At 37.4% G+C, this 22,760-nt stretch overlaps 1 protein-coding gene across 12 annotated transcripts in view; it reads right to left on the reverse strand.

Moving 5' to 3' along the window:
• The window catches only part of FMN1 (formin 1), a 429,171-nt gene that overhangs the window by 336,946 nt on the left and 69,465 nt on the right, over positions 1–22,760 (reverse strand). Inside the window, exon 1 of one of the 12 annotated variants that reach the window (XM_017022132.3) lies at positions 16,760–16,971. The exons of 10 other annotated variants lie outside the window; for them this stretch is intronic. In XM_017022132.3, the coding sequence (XP_016877621.1) occupies positions 16,760–16,892 (133 nt within the window). In that variant the 5' untranslated portion in view covers positions 16,893–16,971. Of the gene's footprint in view, positions 1–11,181; positions 11,654–16,759; positions 16,972–22,760 lie in introns of those variants that run through there. One more of the 12 variants, XM_011521511.4, reaches the window with a different exon arrangement.

The raw sequence follows: 22,760 nt of genomic DNA on the forward strand, positions 1-22,760 counted from the left end.
TGACCAGATTTCTTCTCTCCATCCTTCCTCATTCTTTCTTCTTTTCCTCTCTCCCTCCTTCTCCCTGTCTTCTCTTTCTTCTTGACAAGCAAAGATTCCACCATAAATTTAAATGATATTGGGTATTATGGAGACCACAATGGCAGGAAAAGCCCATGGAGTTTGCCTCGTGGGTTATATATGACTCATGAGCAAACACAAAGGAAATGATGTCTTTCTGCTTTTTAATCCTTTCATAAACCTCCTAAAGTTGGGAGACAGATTATGGAAACATTGACTGACATTGGTTTTATTTCATTTCCACAAGATGAAAATTTATAATAAAACTTTCTCATATGGGTATTCAGTGTAAAGAAATGTACTTTTAGCAAATTTTCAAACCATGGAACTAATTAGGCCTTCTCTGATATTCCTGTTTAAAATAGATGTCTCCAGTGGTTATTTTCATGGCAATCTGATTTTTCCTCCATAGAATGTCTTTAATTTATTTTTTATTTGTCTTTAGGATGCAGGAAAAGGCTTAATGGGGCAGAACCTTACTTGCCTTCTCCAGTACCAGGCACTCCAGCATCTGACACAGTGCCTGTGTTTAGTAGATATATAATAATATCTGTTGAATACAATAATTGTTGAATATACATTACATGAACAGTTTTATGTTCAGAACATCCAGGTTTTTCAGGTGATAAGATCTACTCTTTTTTATCAGTCCTAATGAACACTTACTATTGAGCTTAGCATAGACTCTGTAGCAGAACAGTTTTGGTTTAAATCTCAGCTCCAACCTCTTACTAGCCAAGAGACCTTGGCAATTTGTTTAACCTCTCTATGTCCCAGTCTCCTCTGTGAAAGGGGGAAATAATGGTTCTCACCTTCTGGAGTTACTATAAAGATTAAAGAGTTAATATTATACAATGGACTCAGAGCAGTGCCTGGCACCTATAGTACATAAACACTGGCTGTTAGAATTATTACTCTCTGCTCAGTGCTGAATTAGACCCTGTAGAGGGCAAAAAGGTAGAATGAGACAGAGCTCCATTTCTCCAAAGGATTCACTTTCGAGTTCCAATGAATGGTTCAACAAATGTGTTCTCTAATTTTATCCATTGTGAAATATTTGAAATGTTGTTTCTCATCCTCCCTTCAAACTAAAATATACCAAAGGAGAAAAACAAAAACCCTAATCCACCAAAATGAGCTTCATTTTGTTATGTAGAAGAGTATTTAAGGTGCCAGGGTCTTTTCAGAATGTTTTGTTCAGCAAAGTTATCATGGTTTCTATTCTATTACACCTTGAATTTATTTGGTCAAGCTTAAAATTAACCCAAATCATCTTTAATTTAGGAACCTGTTTTTAGCATCTTATCACTATCTGAAAATTGCCCTTTTCTTCCCCCTGAGGTAATTTCAAATGTTATTTTACCATGCCTTGGGGGCATAATCCTACCAGAAAATACAGCTCCAATTTAAAATGCAAGTCAGAAGAAAAATCAATTTACTAAAAGAAAATTAACTTCATCGGCAAAATTTTCAGGAAGGAACTGATCCTTAAAGTTAACAAAATCTGTACTAAGAATAAAATTGAGTTCATCATATATTTGTCAGCTGAAAAAAACTTTTATCAATACAGTCAAGTGCATGATAAACATTCCCTAAAACGACTTCACCAAATGATAAAATAGAAACTTTTGAGACTCACATTGGTAAGAAATGATAAGATGCACAAATTTGTCAATAATGGCTTCAAAACAACAAAGAGCATTAGACTGAACTGTATGGTGCTGACAAGTATTTCAGGAGTCATGTTTTTACTTTGGGCTTAAATTTTACTTATAAATATGTAAGTGGACTTTCTTGCCAAATTTTCACGATTTACAATTTAAAATGAGTCACAACAGTGACTTGTTGCTAAGGAATAGAAGCACCAAATAATTTATTTTCTTTTTATTTGAAATGACAATTATATGTATTACTGATAGAGATGCAGGAAGTTTGAAAGCCACAACCACCCTGGTATGTGGTTGGGGAAAATGATACAACAGAGGACTCACTCAGCACAACTGAAACATGAGATGAACCTAAGATAGCGCCAGTCACTGAGAACTCAATCAGCTAAAGGAAATGAAAATAAAATTACTAGGGAAGCTAGTAATACGTATGTATTCCTGAAGCAATGTTTTCCACCTAATGTAATTCTCAAATAGTTTTGTGATTTTCCATGGAGCCAAGGATTGTGTGAATTAACTGAAAAAGAAAAAAGAGTAAAGGAAAAATGAGATAATTTGATATAAATTTGTAAAGGTATTACTTTACTAAAGGGATTTGACACTACTTGCTTTGCAGAAATTAAAATATATCATTTCTATGTTAAAAACAATGCTAATTTCAGTCTTAATATTTGCACCATCCAAAGAAAGAGCAAAAAGCTGAATCTAATTGGTGGTGATTTCTGTGATAAGCAATAAGCAAAAGATAGAATGACCCTCTCCCTCTCCAAGAGCTCTGAGAGGTGGTGGAGATGCCCTGGGATGTGGCACTTTGCAAGCTGGGGAGCTATCTCACTACATAGTACATGCTCTGGTCTGACACAATCTCTCTCACTGTCTTCAAAGAGGGAATGAGCAACCAAAGGGTTAATATTAAACATTTTTTTCCCCTGGCTGTAATGATTCTAAGACAGGTGCTCTCTGTGCTCTGGATGTTTCATTACTAAATGGAGCTATGTCCCCACTGGTCAGAACTGGGGAGCAGGGGTCATCCCTCAGAATTAGAAACAAAGACTTTCCTTGGGCCACTTTGAGATCCTCCTGTCAAGAAAAAAATAAAACGGACAATAAAAGGGTAGGGGTTGCAATTAATAGCTAGCATAATTTACCCTATTAAAAATAGGATTGTAGGGGATTTGGTGGGGTATCAGAGGAATCTAGAGGATAATTTAGCAGAAGACTCCCATAATATTATCTAGATGGACTGTCAATGGTTCAGACTTCTCAGAAATAAACGGTTGTCTTCACCAAAGAATCCAGACCAGCTGAAATGCTGCCTAAAGGCAAGGCTGACTTGAAATGGGTAATGACTGGGGAAAGGTTTACAGACTATATGGCTTTGAGATCAGGCGGAAAAATAGGGAATCTTGACTAAAACTGTATTTTCTTATGTACTGTTTGGATATCTAAAGATTAATTACTTCCTGTTTTCTCTTTCAATAAATATCTACTTTTCCTTTTCTTCACTTTTTTTTGGTCTCACTACTGGGATATATTATTTACAATAAAAGTATCCATTGATTCATAAGGTTATAAAATGTTGTAATAGGACAAGAAAAAAAAAACTTCTCAGCAACGACTCAAAGAACAGGGTGCCTATGGCATCACTCCAGATCTCATTACTGTCTGAGCTTGTACTGTCTCCTATTAGTGAGAAAGGGTTTGCAGTTATGCCTGGTAGAGCTGAGTCTGCTGCTCTTTGATGTGTAGCATGAAGGGGTGAAAGCTGGAAAGTACCCCTTAGAATGGCTGTCCATCCCATGATTGTTCTGCCTTCTCTCGGAACTGCTCCCAGTACATAAGGGGAGGCTCTGAGCAGCCATGTCTCAACCTGATCTGGAGTCGCTGGATCTGAATCTTATAAATGGCAGAAAATATCCAGGAACTTTTGCTTATGGGATTCTCAGTACTTCCTGGTTGCCACCTGGCCCAATATTACTATTCAATTTTTCCTTGCTTCTTAACATACCATAATGTTCTGTAAATAAATTCCTATTTTGATTACAGCTAACCAGAATCCACACACACACACACACACACGCACGCACACACACACAGACACAAAACGCTAAGCAACGAGAATGCCAAAATTTCATTTGGCATTGTCTCTGTGGCCTTTTTTTTAAAGTCAGCTTTCTTCAATGTGTACATGATTCTACAAAAGTGTATAAACATCATTTAAATCTATTAGCTTTTAGAGGAATTTTGAGTCATTCTGATATATCCCCAAATTTTCATCATCTCATGGAACTTCTCAGGAGCATCCAGCAGGGTTGAATGCATACTTTTTCTTGAAGTTCCTTTTCAGAAAACACTCTTTCCATCCAAGTTCTCCTGAGTTCACTGTTCACTCTTCAGTTGCCTTGCTGGCTCCTCATCCTTCTAAATCAGTGTTCTAAATCTCAGCACCATTGAAATTTTGGGCCAGATAACTGTTTTCTGTGGGAGGATGACCTTTGCACTGTACAATAGGATGTTCAGCAGCATCCCTTGACCTCTACTCACTAGTTAATAGTAGCATCCCCTCCCCAATCCCTTGGCCAACTAAAATCTCTGAAATCGCCCCTAGTTGAGAAGCACTGCTCTAAATGTTTCAGCACCCCAAAGATATGTGCAGAATCTTCTCTGTCTTCATTCACTCCATCTGTCATCTCATTCAGTCTCAGTTTTAAATATCATCTCAGCTCTAGTGACTTCCAAATTAATGTATCTGGCCATAAGCTCTCGCCCTATCTCATACAGGCACCCAAGTACTCTACTCATTGCTTGGCTAATACTCATTCCAAACTCTTTATTTTCCTTCTAACTTTGTTCTTCCCCCAGTCTTTCCCACCTAATTAAATAGCTCTCAGTTTCTAAGATTAAAACCTGCTTCATCCTTGAGTCCTCTCTTTCCCTCACATTCTGCCTAAATTTTATAAGCAAGACCTGTTTGCTCTACCACCAAACAGTATCCCAAATCTGATCACTTCACACATCATTACCACCTCAGTCTACGCCACTACCTCTCTCATCTGGGCAAGTGGAAAAAATCTCCCAGCTCTTCTTCCTTCTTCCACTCGTGCCTAGACACAATACTCTCCACAAAGCATGCCAACGATCTTTTAAAAATGTCACACCATTCCTCAGATCAAAATCCTCCAGTGGCTTCCCATCATAGTTAAAATAAAATGCAAATCCCTGGCCTTAAAGAACATCACTGGACTTGATCCCCGCCTATCACTTTCTCCCCATCTCCTAACCTCTCCCTTACTTCATTCCAGCCACCCTCACCTTCTTGCTGTTTTGTAATGACACCAACCTCATTCCTGCCTTTGGCATTTACACTGGTGTTTTCTTGGCTAAGATGTTCCCCAGGCTGTTAAATGGCTGATTTCTTCACATCACTCAAGTTCAAGTTCATGCTCAAATATCCTTCGAGCAGAAAGGCTTTCTTGTCACTGCCTTTTTGCCAACAAGCTCTCTAGTATTTTACCCATCGTACTTATCATTACCTGAAACTAAATAATGAATGAGTCTCAAAATCAACTCTAGCAATGCAAGATATCAGATCTGGTTTTCTTCTGTATATAGGTGGTACTATGATGATCCCTCTTTGAAGACATTTAAATAAAATGTAAATGCTAGTATATTTTTTATTTTTCATGCTGGCCCCTTATTTATTACAGTTAACTCTGGAAGCCACAGAGGTGTGTTTGCAGATCTTCTATCATGAAAATAACAAAGGTTTCAGTTTGGATGCCGTGTTATTGGGAGTGAGGGACTAGAATTCAACACTGGCAAGAATTCTGTGCCAGGTTCAGCTCCAGTAAGAAAGAGTCTCGTGATTTCTCTGGGAGAGCAATGCCTTCCCTGGCACAGGATGGATGGTGGTGGGGTGTGTGTGTGTCATGTTTTTACCATCCTTTGACTAAGCCCTCTCTGTTTTCTTGCCTACTCATTTTTTGGCAGTTCTTACTGGCATCTTCATTGGCTTAACTAGAAAAAAGAAAAGATATGAAACTCAATCAGACAACTAAACACTGCTTTGGTAAAAGTTTTGATGGAGGGGGAAAAACATAAAGCTAAAGGACATGCTGCAACAATCAGTGGGTGTGAATCTTCTATCTACATGTCTCTTACTCCCATGAGTAGGGAAAGGAGATAATGGCACATAAGAAGAGAAAATACATTCAAAATAGTATTATTTTACTCTCCTTGCCCTCCAAGAAAAAACAGCTTAAGTTATTAGATTGCAAGGTAGATAACATAATTCTCTAACTCTGCTATTAAACAACAAGAGGCCTGGAGAAACTGAACTTAAAGAGAAAAAAAGAAGAAAGTTAAAGGATTTTTTAAAAGGCTACTATATAATGAAAACTACCCAATCATTCAAATTCCTCTCCCCACTCTTAAGAAAGGTCAACTGATAGCCCTTGGCTCCTGATGTGTAACTATATCCTATTCCTCTTTTGATGTTCTCACCAAGAGGGATTTAATTGCCTTTTCCTTGATTCATTAGATGGTCACTTCAAAGAGACCTTCAAGAGGCAACATTTGCCCAAACAACTCCCCTGTCTTAGTAAATCCAGATAAAACCCAAAAAGCAATTCATCCTAAATTTCACACATTGTTGTCTTTGGCCTCTGTCAGTGACCTCAGCCTACAATATTGATTACCACTCTGCCTCCCAATATGAATCCTTCAGACAATCAATCAGTTACCAGGACAGAGAAGGAGTTATCCAGTCTAATACTAAAAATGTCCCCATGCCTACAATTAACCCAAGAATAAACTAAACAACCTAGCAAACTTGTCATAACTTTACCATTTATAACCTATTTCTTCTCCCAAAAGCAAGGAAGGCATAAAACATACTTGGTCTAGAGTGTGCTAGACTCTATTCAAGACAAAGATGGATACTTGGTTTAGTAACAAACTAAAATATTTTATTAAATTAACGAATGTCTTTGTTCTAAAATGCAAGTAAGGTTTTTGAGGTTCCTGTACAAAAACAACATAGAAATCCACTATAGTTTCCTTACTTTTGTCAAAACATTAATAGATAAATGGCCAAAGGGAAAATAAAAATAAACAACCAATGAGTATGGGGAAATTTTAAACACCATTAGTAATAGCTAAAAGAATTGCAAGCCAAATGAAATGCGAGCACTATTCACAATAGCAAAGACAGGGAATCAACCTAATGTCAATCGATGACAGATTGGATAAAGAAAATGTGGTATATATAACACCATGGAATACTACACAGCCATAAAAAAGAATGAAATCATGTCTTTTGTGGGAACATGGATGGAGCTGGAGGCTACTATCCTTAGCAAACTAAGGCAGGAACAGAAAATCAAATACTGCGTGTTCTCACTTATAAGCAAGAGCTACATGGTAAGAACTTATGAACACAAAGAAGGAAACAAATACTGGGGCATACTTAATGGGGGAGCATGAGAGGAGGGAGAGAAACAGAAACAATATTCGATACTGGGCCTAATACCTGGGTGATGAAATAATATGTACAACAACCCCCCATGACACGTTTACCTATGTAACAAATCTTTACATGTATCCCCAAATCTAAAATGAAAGTTAAAAAAAAAAAATGCAAGCTCAAAGAACATTTCACTGTAAATCAGGAAGTCTAAAACCTTAAAAACCTAAAAAAGTAAGACAGTGCCCATGGATGTTTAAGTTAGCACCAGCACTTCACCTAGCAACTGGACACAGCAAGTTCCCATTAAATATTTATTGAATACATAAATGGGTAAGTGCACGAATACTCTTCAGGCAAAAAGTATATTGAATAAAATTTGGAGAAACAATTTGGTAATAAATATTAAAATAACTGATAATTGTCATACTTTTGACAATATAACGCTTCTCCTAGGAATCTACCATAAACAAATTCTCTAAAATGCAAACATTCTATGCAAAAATACCTGTCAGATTATTAGGACACTAAAAAACCATAAGCAAGTAAAGTGTCCAGAATTAGGTAAATAATACATAGATGGTCTATTCTCTTTGCAGAATTGTTCACAATAACTGAAACAATATTTATGAAAAGTTAAAAAACACAGGAAATGCTTATAACATGTGGAACCAAAAGGTTATGTATCAAGTTCAGGAAATTTTTTAAAGTACAGTAAAAAGACTGGAAATAAATGTAAATTTTAGCAGTAATTTTTCTATGGGTGGTGATAATGGAAGGTTTTTTTCGTATCCTTATGAATCTTCTATATTTTTCTATAATGGCCATATAATAGTTTTGTAACAAAAAGGTAAAATTCTGTATTAACCAAGGAGAGCATTTTTTGAGAATAGCTATTCTGTCATGCATCTCAAATAATATCAGTAAAACACGTCCCCCCGCCCCTCACATTGACGCTTCTTTTTCTTTTTAATATTTGATTATATTCAGATTAAATTTATATAAACACAGATCATTAAAGCATTTTGATGACTAACAGTCTTTTATTTAAAAATGCAATATTAAATCCCAATTAAAACTATTTTGCTATTCCTTTAGCCATTTTCTCTGTTATTAAAACAAAAATAAGAACAACTTGTCAGTATTTTTAGTCCATTAAAATTTTCCCACATTAAAACAATTTTTAATGTCTTGGCATGCAGTATATTTTTACTAACCTTAAAGAAGTTCTAAAAACAACTCCTTTACATTTTTCAAGATGCCTTTGTACAGCAATTATGATAATTATTCCGAGTAAATGAGTTAACACATGTGAAAAAGTGCTATGGAATTATAAACTGCCATTCAAATGTTAGTTTTACATTTTTATGGTATGCTATTCCTGACCTTACATTCATTTCTCATGGCATATTTCCATTTCCCTCACAATCTATGAGATGATTCATTTGTGTGTTTTCCATGGTGCTTTGCACATGCCCTCTATAAATCACACTGATTTTTAAAATGTACATTGTAAAATGCTTTCAACCCTACACAAGTTAATTTAAAAAATAAAAAAACTTAAAGGATCCTTTGAAATGCAAATCGAAACCTCAGTAGGATACCACTTCACTGGGATGGCTATAATTAAAAAGGCAGATAACAACAAGTGTTCATGAGGCTGTGAAGAAGTTGGGACTCTCACAAGATTGCTGGTGGGAGCCTAAAATGGTACAGCAGCTCCAGAAAACAGTCTTGGCATTTCCTCAAAAGGTTAAATCAAGAATTAGAATACAACTCAGCAATTTCACTCCTAGAAATAAATCCAAGAAATATAAAAGCACATGTCCACACAAAAACTTGTACACAAATGTTCGTAGCATTACGCATAATAGCCAAAAGGTGGAAATAACTCAAATGTTTGTCTACTTATGAATGGATAAACAAAATGTGCTATATCCATATGAAGGAGTATCTTTTGCCTATAAAAAAATCTCAAAAACATGCTAAGTAGATGTGGCCAGTCACAAAGACCACAATATTGCATGATACCACTTACATGAAATTTCCAGAACAGGCAAATCTACGGAGGCAGAAAGAAGCTCAGTGATAACTTGGGCTGGACGGGGTTGTGGGAAAATGGTGAGTGACTTCTGATGGTATGGGGGTTTTGGGGGAGGTGATGAAAATGTTATAAAGTTGATTTTGATGATGGTTGTACAACTGAATATATTAGAAACCACTGAATTGTACATTTTAAATGAGTGAATTATATGGCATGTGTATTATATCTTAATAAAGCTGTTTTTAAAAAGACTCAAGTTACCATTTTATATGAATTGGTTGTATCACATTTTACTGTAATTTTTTGGAAAGAACTGTAGTGTTAACAAAGTTTTTGTATCTTTTTACAATTTCATGTCTATGAAAACAAAAAGCTATATAAATAAAGATTTTAACCACAGCATTTTTATTGGTTTCAACTTGGAAACAATTTAAATGTCTAATAATGGATTTAGTACCATAGTCATCTACATGATAAAATGTTACCCCTTAAAATTATAAAGGTATAATTAAAGAGATGGTATATAAACATTAGAAGTTTGAAATAATGTTAGGTGGCAGTGCATAAAACAAAATATTTTTATATAATTTTGTTTCCATGACCTTTGTTATTTAAAAACACCTATCTCTATGAAGAGTTGAGGTGGTTGGATTATAGAAGATTTTGTTGTTCTGTACTAGTTTTCTTACATAATTCTTTTAATTAAGAAAAGAGGAACTGTTATTGCTCCATTAAACAAGTACTAAGCACAACTATGCAATGAAATTAAAAGGTTCCCTAGAGATGCCGAACCTAAGAGCATTCGGTACCTGCAGCAAAGAATTTCAGGCACTAGTGCTTAGTTTAACCCCTATCATAAAAACACTCCAAAGATATTAGAGGCAAGAAGGTGGTTACAAAAATTCCAGCTCATCAACTGACTGGCCTATATTCTACTTGTACATCTGGTGTATTTTTTCACCACTACTTGTTGAGTACGTGATAACAGTCACGGCTGCCCAATCAACAGAATTTTAGGATATTTTCCCTGTTCTGCTAGAGATCACATGGGAAATGTGGGTTGCTAGGAAGTGGTGTGGGTAAATGGCAAGAAATGAAGGGCATTTGCAGCAGAGTTATCCAAATGTCAAGGCCTACACAGCTACTGGGTTTATATCGTCAGAAAGGTTAAGCCTCCAGGTTACAGCTGCCCTAGGCAGTCCTGGTGTACTGGGACAAAGGGGAAGGCAGGGAAAGTCTAAGAGAACCTTCGCTGTTAGGTGCTTTGACAACAGTGTCTTCTCTATTTTCTTCACAATGCCTCAGTGTGGCGGAACAAAAGAACAAAATACTTATATCTAAAGTACAACCAAAGTGTTTAACACCCCCAAGGCATATCTACCTCTCAATATGCTGTTTCAAATATCTGCATTTATTGGTGTAATTTGGATGCTTTGTGGCCAAAGCTTGACCTGTGTACTGTGTGATCATTTGTTAGGGGGTTGCTCACTTTCTGACATATTCTTACCTAAAGGTCAGTGGGCTCCTTGACATGAATTCAAACAACTTCAGTGAAGTAATTAAACAGGATGAGTGTTGCCATGTATTTGTAACGTAGGTCCACTACAAAATTTGAATTATCTATTGTTTTAAACTATATAAGCTTATTTTTTTCAATTAATAGTTCAGTGATTTCATTCCAGCCTTTCTTTCTTTACAAAATTTTTGTTGTTGTCTTATACTGTTTATGTAACATAGATGTGAACATAGGGTACGATATAGACAATTATGCAGCCTCTTTTTTCCAACAACAGTTTGCTCCTCCATGAAGTACGACCCTGCTCCCCCATCTTTAGTCAATACCTGCGCTCCTACAGAAAACACAAAAATCATCCAGTGTCAGTATACGGAGGCACCTTCCTCTACAGCCCACCTCATACCCCAATTTAAATAGTACCACCACCCACCTTCTGTTACTTCTCCCCCTTCTAGACAGGGGCCCCACGTTGAACACTGTGCATTGGATTCCTGGTGCTCCACCTCAGAGCCAGCTTCCATGGCCACGTCAGTTCTTTCATCTGTGACTCCTTCCAGACGGTCTTACAGCTGAGGCCCCTGAGGTACCAGCACACTTCAAAACAGAGCCTTCTTTAACAATGAAACCCTGACTGGAAACTGCTTCTACTGTTCCTTTAATTAGCCTTAACGATGTTTTCACCCACAAGTGTGGGAAACCAGATCCTTAGCCACCTACCTGCTCCTTAGCTCAGGAATTGCTCTAGGCTCAGTTATCTAAGGTCCAAGTCAAGCCTCCTCCCCTTGGCAGTTCTCCAAGATCTTGTAAGCTGGTTTCCTACCCAACACCTTCTCTTGGAGCAGCTCTGTTCAGAATTGTCAGCCCGGTTTCCCTCTGAGCCTGTTCTGCCGTCAAGGTCCTATAGGACACTACTGCTAGTGCCTGCCCTTTATATCTCAATGTGCTGCAAGATTGGACAGGAGGCACCACATGGCCTCCTAGGCCAGGCCTATGGGTTATTATTTCTACAAGTCCTTGCTTGTCCAAGGACGAGGAATGAAGCAGCTCAGGACTCTAAAGTATAGCATCCTAAAAGCCTAACTTCTGGACAGTGACATAAGAAGAAATAATTGGCCTCTGGCTGCCTGAACATTTAGACCTAAACATAAATATATGCAGAAATGATAAAAATATGAATATTTTGCAAAGAATCTGCATAAGTGTTGAACATGGAATGTGTGGCCAGTGGATTCCGGAAGCCTGTCTGTCACATCTGTTCCGTTTCAGAAACAAGTCATTGTCGATCCAATCATTTGAATCATCCAGTCGCTTGTTTGTGTACCCAAGAACACCACGCAAACGCGAGTCTCTCCTCGTCTCATGACAAAAGCACTTAGGATTTCCTTCCCCTGCCACATGACCAACAATGCACCTTCTTTTGGAGAGAGCCTGTGGGTAAATAGTCACAACTGCTGTAATGTCTCCTAAACTATAAACTCCATATTTCTCATCACCTGACAGGTAGCATGACCCAAATGCCCCAAAACAACTACAGAACTATCATTAAAGGAATAGAAATAATCCTACTTTAGCTGATAAAATTTAAGATCTTTGACTTCTGGAAATTAACTTTTTTCCCCTCCCTTATTTTGCCTATCCATGTTTGAAAAGATGCAAGCATCTCTACGTTACTGTCCAGCCAGCTAACTGAAAAGTTTAGGGGTCTGGTGGCTGGGCAGGCCTCAGAAGATAAACTGACCTGCACTGATCCTTCATTCAATATATGATCCATGTATTGATTTTATAGAGTCCTCAAGACTTCATCTATCAATCAGTCAAAATGCTGATTAAGCACCCACTATGCCAGGCACGGAATCATATGATACAAAGATAACTAAGACAAGGCCCTTGCCTTCAAGGAGTCCAGTCTCCCATGGGGAAAATGAAGAACTAAATAAATTCTTAGAATTTAAGTGTTAAAAGGAGAGTACTTAAGAAATAAAGAGCAGAGTTGCCTAAGGCTGTCCTATAAGGAGGGTGGGAGGCTAGGAGTCACAATGGGACACTTCTCATGGGAAATAATACTTGAAGGATGAATAAAATCTAACGAGTCAAATCAGAAGAAACATGTACACATAAAAGAATGTATGTGTAAGAAGATGGCATATTTTCAACGGACTGGTATGTGGGTTGCTTATGAAAGAGGTAGGCAAGGCTCAGGTTGAGGTCCTTGTGTACAGCCTTGCTAAGGAAACTGGATTTCATCCTTAAGCCCCCCCCCCCCACACACACACGCACACACACAAACTTGCTGTCTTGCCAGCCTCCCTCACATACACCCTCCCCCACCTCTCCTATCTTTTACATTCAAATAATTCTTCCACAACCACAATACACTGAGCACCTGAAATCCAGCTGTGCACAGCACCTGCATCAGGTAATTGTCTGGAAATTCTTGCCTGTTTCCTCTAAACCTGTTCTTCCTCACCCTTCCTGCCTCTCATATCCCTAAACCTATGCTCCGCTCCCATGTTGCTATTTCTGGCCAGACTTTCAGTTACCACTTAGAAGTTCCCTTTCCACCTTATGGCTTGACTCTTAACTCTTTGTGGTCATGAGATTTTATTAACCTTAGCAGCTTCCAATGAGAGGAATTCTCCACCACCTTTACTCCAACCAGCAAATCCATTTGCATCATTATTCATTTCAACTAGATTCTCTCACACACCTGCTTGCAATAATAGTAAGTTTCTCAGGTAGCTTTGGGCTGGGCTGAATTAAAGAATTTTCTTAGGGTGAATGGGGACTGTAATCACTCACCTTAAAGGTATATCCAGAAAGACTATAGAGATCCAACTATAAAAAGACATTCCTGAGTTTTAGCTATGTCCCTGGCATTTGGATAGTACTATGGTTTTCCTTAGCCTTATTAGTAGTTACTTAAATCCCCATTTATACAGAAAAAAGATGTAAACGTAGACTAACTTTTTCACTGGGATTGACCTAGTCTAGGAAGCATAATGTTCTACTTTCCTTTATACCTGTTTATAAAACTCTTTTAAAGTATCCTTGGTTCACATTAATCTGTGCTTCATCCAAGGACAAGCTTTGGAAAATCACAGCAGCCAAGTTGCAACAAATCCGAGGCAGCCAACTGTTCAAACCGTGTTCAAATAAGGCAAACGCCCAGCTGTAGCCAATCCAGCTGTTTCTATGCCTCATTTCCGTTTTCTGTCTATAAATGTTATCCGACCATGCGGCAGCCCTGAAGTCATTCTAAGCCTATTCTTGTTCTGGGGGCTGATTCAAGAATCGTTCTTTGCTCAATTAAATTCTGTTAAATTTAGTTTGTCGAAAGTTTTTTTTTTAATTTTTTAACACCTCCCAGGCTTAAATTATTTCTGCTCATTATTTGGCACTCCATTCCAGCCTCTTCCAGCAAAACTGCCTGTGATAAAGCAGTTGTAGAGAGGAAATTCATATTGAAGCCCAAACATGATTATAAGATGCGAAAACAAATAATACTAGATATGGCTTTTTTTTCCCTCATGAGAAATAGTCGACAAAGTATAGGCCTTGAATTCAGGAAGGTTACTATCCATCTGACTTTGGGCAGGTCCTTCATAGAGAAAATGGAAATAACAGAGATCTTTCGAAAGTTTGTTGAGGATTAAAGAAAACGAAGTACTTGAAACACGTTTTACAGCACTCAATAAATGCTTATTATTACTATTGTTTCCACCAATACAACACTACCACTATTCCTATCATTACCACAACCAATTAAGTGTGGCACTGACCCAAATTTCAGAGGAGCTATGGACGATCCTGCAGAGACTGAGAAATATCCTATTTGAAATAAAGTTAGCCTCAGATCCAGGTAAATCACTTACATAGTGAGAGCTTAAGAACAATGGAGGATCTAGTTTGGAGAAATTACTCCCCTCTAACAACTCTCACGGAGTCCCCAACCCCTACTCCAAAAGAGAGAGAGAGAAAACAAATCCAGGGTGCCACTGCTGGAAGTTATACGCCCTCAGATTCTGGCAATAACAACGAAAGTATTTGTAATGTCCTGCCATAAAGAAGACAATGCAGAAATTCCACATCTCCTTAAGAGTAATCTAAAATCTTGAAAGCATCGAAACCATAGCTGCATTTTGATTACTGGCATTCTGAGAAATACACAGGGGCTGAGAGATTGACAAGGTAGCATTCATTTCTCGGCGTTTTCTTATTTAACTGGCATATGCTCTTGAACATCTTTTTCCCCACACAAGTAATTTAACCTTAATATGCTTTTGGAAAATCTGAACTACGGATTAAGCTGAATGTTTGCTCCTTGCACCTCAATAAACTTACGGAGTCCACTTCAGGGATCAAAATTTATAGATACGTGGAATGAGATATTTAACAAATGTTTTGCAGTGATTCCAATAAATAAACATTAATTTCTGAACTGTGCTTCACCCACATTTACTAGAGATTAACTATTATCTAGCAAACAACATTTGTACTCTCTTGATGAGACAGAAGGAACACAAAGATTAATATTGCCTCAAAGGAAGAACCACTAGAGCAAACAATGGTTATGAAGCATACTCAGGACCATGTAGCAAATTAGTGTTTGAACTAAGAATAAAGTTCAGATTGACCTCGCATTCAAATGCCTGTTCTTCATCTAGTTTAGGTTATGGGTGATGGAGTGGCAGTACGGAAGAGAAATAATACTGTTTTTCGTGTTCCTAGAAAGAAAATTGTTGTTAATTTGCAAAGACTTTTGCATCAAAATAATGATATAGTGTGTTGTGAATTTGCAAAAATTTTCTAAAACTGCTTCTGACTTTCCACAAGAAGAAATCACATGAATTCTGAGAAAATGTAAATACATGTGCATGTATCTCTATGGAATGCCAATACACCACAAAATGTAGTTTGCAAACCTAAACTTATATAATTCACTGCCTAACATCCTCCATGGGAAACTAGCTTTTTCTGTTTTAGTTGCTAGTTCCAACCAAGCAATTATATCGTAAGAGATTTTCTCATTTGTTATATTAATAACTTTCCTTATAGTTTAACATCCAGTCCATTTGGTACCCTTGGAACAGTTGATGATTGTCCAAACACAAAAATTCTCAGGGGCATACTAAGAAGTCCATCTAAATGATTAGAACAAACCAGAAAAATGGAGATCATGGCTTCAAATAAGCACCAGCAAACAGAGAAATAGGAAAGTAAAAAATGTCAATTTCTCCCTTAATGCTGAAATTAATTACCTTTACATAATTTATTTTTCCTAGGTAATTTTTCTAATTTCAGTATAAACTTGTTGATAAGAATCAAGTGAAACTTGTTTGACAGGAATGAGGGACAGTTCCTGTAGGAAACAAGAAATCAGAAAATCTCTTCCTCTCACATCCTAATAATGCTCATATTAAATATTAAATACAAAAAGCATGATTTAAACAATTTCCATATGAAATATTAGATACAAATATTTTCACCTATTTTGGTTAAATAATCTAGATTAAGTATTTCTTGATATTGATACAGCATTTTATTACATCAACCTATCTTTAAAGAATGGTATAAAATCTTTAAATTTCAAACAATTTCTAGTCACATTCATACTCCAAAGTCTTTATGAAGAAAATAATGTCTATAAAAAAAGATTGGCCGTAAACCTTCCTTTACAAAAAAAAAAAAAATTAGACACATAAATTCTTAGTTTTGTTCAACATAATTGAATGAAAATGCTAATATTCAGATGGTATAATTTAAAAAATTGGAGATCAGCACCCCTGCAGGTATCAACTGGAGGACATCTGAATCAACTTATGCGACAAAACAATGACTTTTCAGCTAGAATTCTTCATAGTTCAGCCCATAAAAACTAGAAAGCTAAAAACACTAAGTAGAGAGAAACTTCTATTCTGATGATCTAGTTAGATTCATCTCTATGTTCAATGAACACCCTTCTCTCTCCACCTGCAACCCAGAGAACAGGCTTCTGTTTTCAAGCTTACCTTCCTCTGGGGTTACCGACCTCCTGTGCCGGCACTTCCAAATCCTGGGAACTGAAATGGACTGTCCATATCTTGGGCTACAGTGGTAGCAGGCACCCATGGTGCCAAAGGGTGGGGAGCCTGTGGTAAACATGATAGATTCTCAGGACAGCCTGGGAGGAAGGAGAATGTGGGGGATGTGCCTCCCCTGCTCCATCGCAAGAGCAACTGCTACAGTGCCACCCAGGAGGAGACTCTGCCAAGCATTAATGAGTCCACCGTCCGTACGCTCAGTGGGCCAGACAGGTTTCGCCACTTTATAGCCCTATTAATGATAAAACTTTCTGTAAAAAACCAGCACTATTCTTGAAGAGCTTGCTTTTATTTTCTTTCTCTTTCAAGGGATAGAAGTGATCACTCTGTTTTACAAAAGATGTTTTCAGTTAAACACAAAACTTCCAAAAATTTTTTCATTTTTTTGAATCATCTCTCAAAACTAAGCTCTCATATTCTAAAAACTGTTTGTACTATATTCGTCTTTAAAATGTGTTAGGAATTTCATTTTCAGATTTTGAAAGCCAGTCTTCTTCTTTGCTCTCATAAAATGACCTCCCCATCACTAGGTTTAGCCTTGCATGTAAACTATGAAAAATCACTGTATAATTATCTTAATGAGACTTTGTGTTTATATTGTGTCTTCTATCTAAAGAGCTCAAAGCGTTTTGCAAACATGATCTTATTAAGCGTCACAACACCTCATTCAGGAATGCGATGGTAAGGATTATTATTATCAATTTTAACAGGTGGGGAAACTAAGAGATTAGCAATTAAATGACTCAATTTGAGGTTACAATGTTAGTTAAAGGCACAGTTTGATTCAGGACTCTGACATCTATTTCCAAGGACATACCCAAGTGACCAATGGAGAGCAGCATAGTGAAATGAAAATTGTTTTTCACTTCTCAGAAATAATCTGTTCTTTTGCTCTACGGCTTTGAAGAACATTAAACATAAGGCAATTACAAAATAATTTGTTTACAAAACTTGGCACACCCTGCTAAAGATAGCAGATGTGCTAACTCCAGTCACTTTATTCTCCTTGCTGACCCTTTCCAAGGGCCATCATCATCTTCCAGGTCAATGGATTAGGTTACCAGTTGTGCCCATAGTGTTTACAGAGTGGTTAGCTACTGCACTTTTCCTACACACCGGCAGGGAAGACATGTTCAAAGTTAGCCATCTAGTGCATGTTTATTGGTGGACATTCCAGCAACAAGGAATTGTATAATCCAAAAAATGAGAAAACCTCATGTCGCCAACCCCAGAGATTACTATTTTTTTATGTGGGGATATACGAACACACACGTAGTGATACCAAGATACTGTTCGGCAGCTTTTGTTGTCTTTTCGTGTTCTGGTATTCCTGGATCATTGGTGTGTCAGTTCATATATATCTACATCATTCTTTTAAGTGACTACATACCCATTTTACAGACATATATATAAGATATGGAAAAATTTATTCTACCTATTACCCTTTTACTGCACATTTGGTTTTTTTAATCCTATGAACATTCTTGCATGTTTATGTATTTTTAAAAGTATTTCTTTTGAATCTACTTTCCATTTTTTTACAAGCTCTCCAGGACTCTTTCTTCTGAAAATATACCTGTTGCACTATACACTGAACTACTTATAGTACAGTAAGCCCATCATCTTGGATGCAAAGTAAATTCACCTCTTTTCCTCCCATTGCTTCTTGATAGAGGTTTTAGTCTTAATTATAGGATAGTACTCTGCCTTCATTCATATAACCCAAAAATGTAAACTGGAGAACCTTCCACATGGGACAGATGAAAGGTTGGCTAGATGATGTTGTAACAAGAGTATACAATACCCCATCTATGATTTACAGTCTACTTTCTCCAAGGACTTAGATCAACAACAACAAAAAATTAAACTCTTGCCTTTTATCAATAGAGCAGTGGGTCCTGTGTCTTGAAACAAAAAGTATTCTGCAAATAAAACTTCATCATATGCCTGATTCTGAGTTTCAATACCACAATGACCAATTACTTTGTACCTCTGCTCCCTCAGACCACATGGCGGATTCAGGGTCACATTCAATGCCAGTGTCAATATTGTTTACAATGTTCTGGACTGTCTATAAATTGAGAGCACAAAGGGAGAAACTCATTCCCTCATTTCCAGTATTACATGTAGTTCTATATGATACAAAGGTAGAAATCATTTGTCTATTACACCATTTCCCAGTAAAGTACATAGTTGACAAGTTGGTTTTGTTTTGTTTGTTTTGTTTTTTAGATAGTCTTGCTCTGTCGCCAGGGTAGAGTGCAGTGGCGCAATCTTGGCTCACTGCAACCTCCACCTCCCGGGTTCAACTGATTCTCGTGCCTCAGCCTCCTGAGTAGCTGGGATTACAGGTGTCAGCCACCATGCCCAGCTTCTTTTTGTATGTTTAGTAGAGACAAGATTTCACCATGTTGGCCAGGATGGTCTCAATCTCCTGACCCCTCAAGTGATCCGCCTGCCTCAGCCTCCCAAAGTGCTAGGATTATAGGCGTGAGCCACCACACCCGGCCAAATTTTTGTTTTTCTGTTTGTTTGAATTTTAGGAATTTGAAAACAAAAAGAAAGCAGTAGACTTAGAGCCACAATAAGAAAAATCTAGAACTTAATTAGGTCTCTCTCATTGTGTTACCAATTAATTCATTTATTCATTTACCAAAAGTGTACTGCAAGCAAACAATATGAAGAGGACACGATCTCTACTTTCAAGGAGCACAATACAGTCAGGCCAATAGACAAAGAACAGACAAATAAAGAATACTACTCTGGAAGTGCAGGAAAGGGCCTGGGAACTTTTACAGTTAACTACACAGTGAAACAAATTATCCCTTGTCCACGGAATTAAGTGCAATGTTCTTAGGTGAAACCTAAAAGATTGAAAACTCTGACCTATAGTCACCAAAAAAAGTGAATAAGCTAAGTCTTATTTATTCTTGTCATATTCCAATTTTGTGTTTCTACTCCGTAAAACGTTGTTGTGTTCCGCAAATTCAAGTAACCATGTAATTGTGCTTTAAAAGAAGAAAATTTTTTAACCCAGGCATGTATTAAACAATTTTCTCCCAAAAAGTACATGCCTGGTGGGAAAGTAAGGTAGGTCAGAGTAGGTTTTATAAAATTAGTATTGGCTTTAGACAGTACACATTGGCTCATCCTTTTACTGCTCAGCCCACAGTACATTTCATGTATACCTTCTAGATGTCCCAAGTATTTAAAATGCAACAGGATAAACAACCAGGCCAATATTCTGACATCACCTTCTAAACAGTACCACTAGCTAATGCAGCAGTAATAAAATCTAATGGCCACTAGTGACAGGTACAATGTGAGAGAGAAAACTTGGAGTTTGTGTCAAATCTAGGAACACTAAATTGGCACATGCTGGCCTATCCTACTCCAGGTTTGCTCCTTCAAAAAGCTAATGATGTGTGTCAACAAAGATTGACCACGGCAACAGATTGCTGCCATTATTCTGTTACATAATCTGAAAGAAGAGGGAACTGGAATATTTCTTATATATAGGAATAGAAAGAGATTGACATAGTATAGGCTATCCAATCTTGATAAAGCAAACCAACATCTATGCAGCATGTACTATGTGCCAGGCAGTGAGCTAAATGCTTTATATATACATGGCCTAACAATATCCTGCTAGGTAATTAATGTCACAAATAAAAAGACAGGCCGAGAGAGGTTAAGTAATCTGACCATGTTCACACAACTAAATAGGTTTACAGCATCTCCACATCCTTATAACTAAAGCCCAAATTGTAGAATCATCTAGAATGCCTTTCTTTCAACGTCATATCGTCAAGCCTTGTGGATCTATTTGCGCAATGTTTTCACATCCATCCACTTATTTCCAGGCCCAATTCAAGTCCCCATCAACTGGGGATCACCAACTGGCCTTCCTTTTTCTAACTTATTTCTGTCCACTCTGCTGCTTAATCTTTCCAAATCAAAACTGGGGTCATGTCACTCCTTTGCTCAAAGGCCTTCCATAGCTTTTCACCATCTACTGAATTAGGTAAATACTCCTGAATCTGGCATTCAAAGCCTACTGCACTATATAGTATACAGACTTGGTTCAAACAATGTTTGTTGAATGAATACATGGCACTAAGCTAAGACTCACTATCTGTGGCAATAGTTCCCCAAAGTAGTATCATAGCATATTAAGTAATAAATATGTCCTCAAAAGATAAATACAAGGCCTAGAATCTATTTCACCCTAAAACCAAGAATATTGAGGAAAAATTAAGTCTAACATATGGTATGGGGGTACAGGTTATATAGTGAGGGTTGTTGATCAAACAGCTAGCTATTTTATAGAATGCATGTTTTAACACAGATTAAGTTTTCCAAGACATGAACGTCCCTTCCATGAATTCCTCACTCCAACATCAGCACATTGCTTCCTCCATTTGGCCTTTTGGCTCCACTACGTAAAGTTTCTTAGTTAGAACTTCTTGTATTACAAGTGGCAGAAATCCAACTAAACTGGCTTAGGCAGAATAGAATTTGTTCATATAACCAAAAAGTCCAGGATTACAGGCATGGAGCTCAAATGATATAAGGAATCTCTCTACATCTCTCGATTCTGTTCTCCCCTCATGGTATCAAAGATAATCATTACAACTTCACAATTAGATTCTTCCAGCTCAGTAACCATAGCTACTAAGACAGTGTCCCAACTATTCCAGCAAAGGACTGGGGAACTACTCTCTAGAGTATAACTTAGAAAATGTGCCCGTCCATAAACAGATCACAGTGACCAGGTGACGTGAATTATCATTCAGTCCTGGGTTGAGGATCATCTCTAGATCCAATAGATCAGCTTCATCCTAACCATGCAGAGTGCAAAGGGTGAGACGTGGCTTTTCAAAAGAAAAGTGAGGTGATGTTAAAGACAAAAAGGAAACAGATGTTATGTGGAGGAAAAAAACACATTGACATTCACTGTAGAAAAGTTCTGAGACATAAAAGTGAGAAGGGGGTCTGGTCAGCGTCTTGCTGTGCTGTTATAGCCTCTCCGGGCTACTTCTGATCAATGAGTAGGACCCTCTGTACATTTCACCCCCCTTGCCATTTTGTGCCTTTATCAGTAAAGCTTCCCATGGCCCTGCCATTCAGCAGAGGCGGCAGCTGCATGACCTTCTTAAATTACTGCTTGGGACTGAGCATTGGGATTGCTTTAAAGCTCTCCCAAAGTGATCCTAATGTGTAGCCAGGGTTGAGTCATCGGAGTAGGAAAGCCCTTGGTCTTCACCATCAGCATATACAAATATTGCATTAATCTTCTAGAATGTATTTGGTATCTAATAATCTGTGTTCTTTTCAATAAAAATATCTGAGATTATTCCTTTCATTTTCAGAAACTGATCCACAAAGTCTGGAAGGAGAGGGAGGAAATCTCACAAATCAGACACTAAATAGCACTCCTTTGTGCTCCTTAATTTTGGATTTTGTTTTCTTTTTTGCATGGGATCAATTCAATACTAGATGAAAAAAATGCTTTTCATTTTTCTGCATTTTTTTTTTTAATTTGGAACGGGAAACAAATCATAGAGCCTTGTTTGGCACAAGGGCAAATGTTAAAGATACTATGTGCCACTCCCCTCCACTGAGGTTTTGATTTCTTTGAAATCAGAGGCAATTCAAATGAAGTTATATTCCTGGAATGTATAAAATCCCTTCTCGCATCCATGTCTACTCTATCATGGAATGCTTAAACAATTTAAAGCGACTGAGTTTTTCCACCAGCCCCTCTCTGTGAAATAACATAATGCCTTAGAACATTACATCTAGGGAGGCCAAATGATGCGGTAGAATGCAGAGTTTGAATCCCTGATCCATCACTTACTGTGAATCACTTACTCAGCTTAAGAAGGTCACCTAATTTTTGTCTTCCATAAAATGGAGGAAATAACCT

This window comes from Homo sapiens, chromosome 15, assembly GCF_000001405.40.
Source record: "Homo sapiens chromosome 15, GRCh38.p14 Primary Assembly".
NCBI classification, from domain to species: Eukaryota; Metazoa; Chordata; class Mammalia; order Primates; family Hominidae; genus Homo; species Homo sapiens.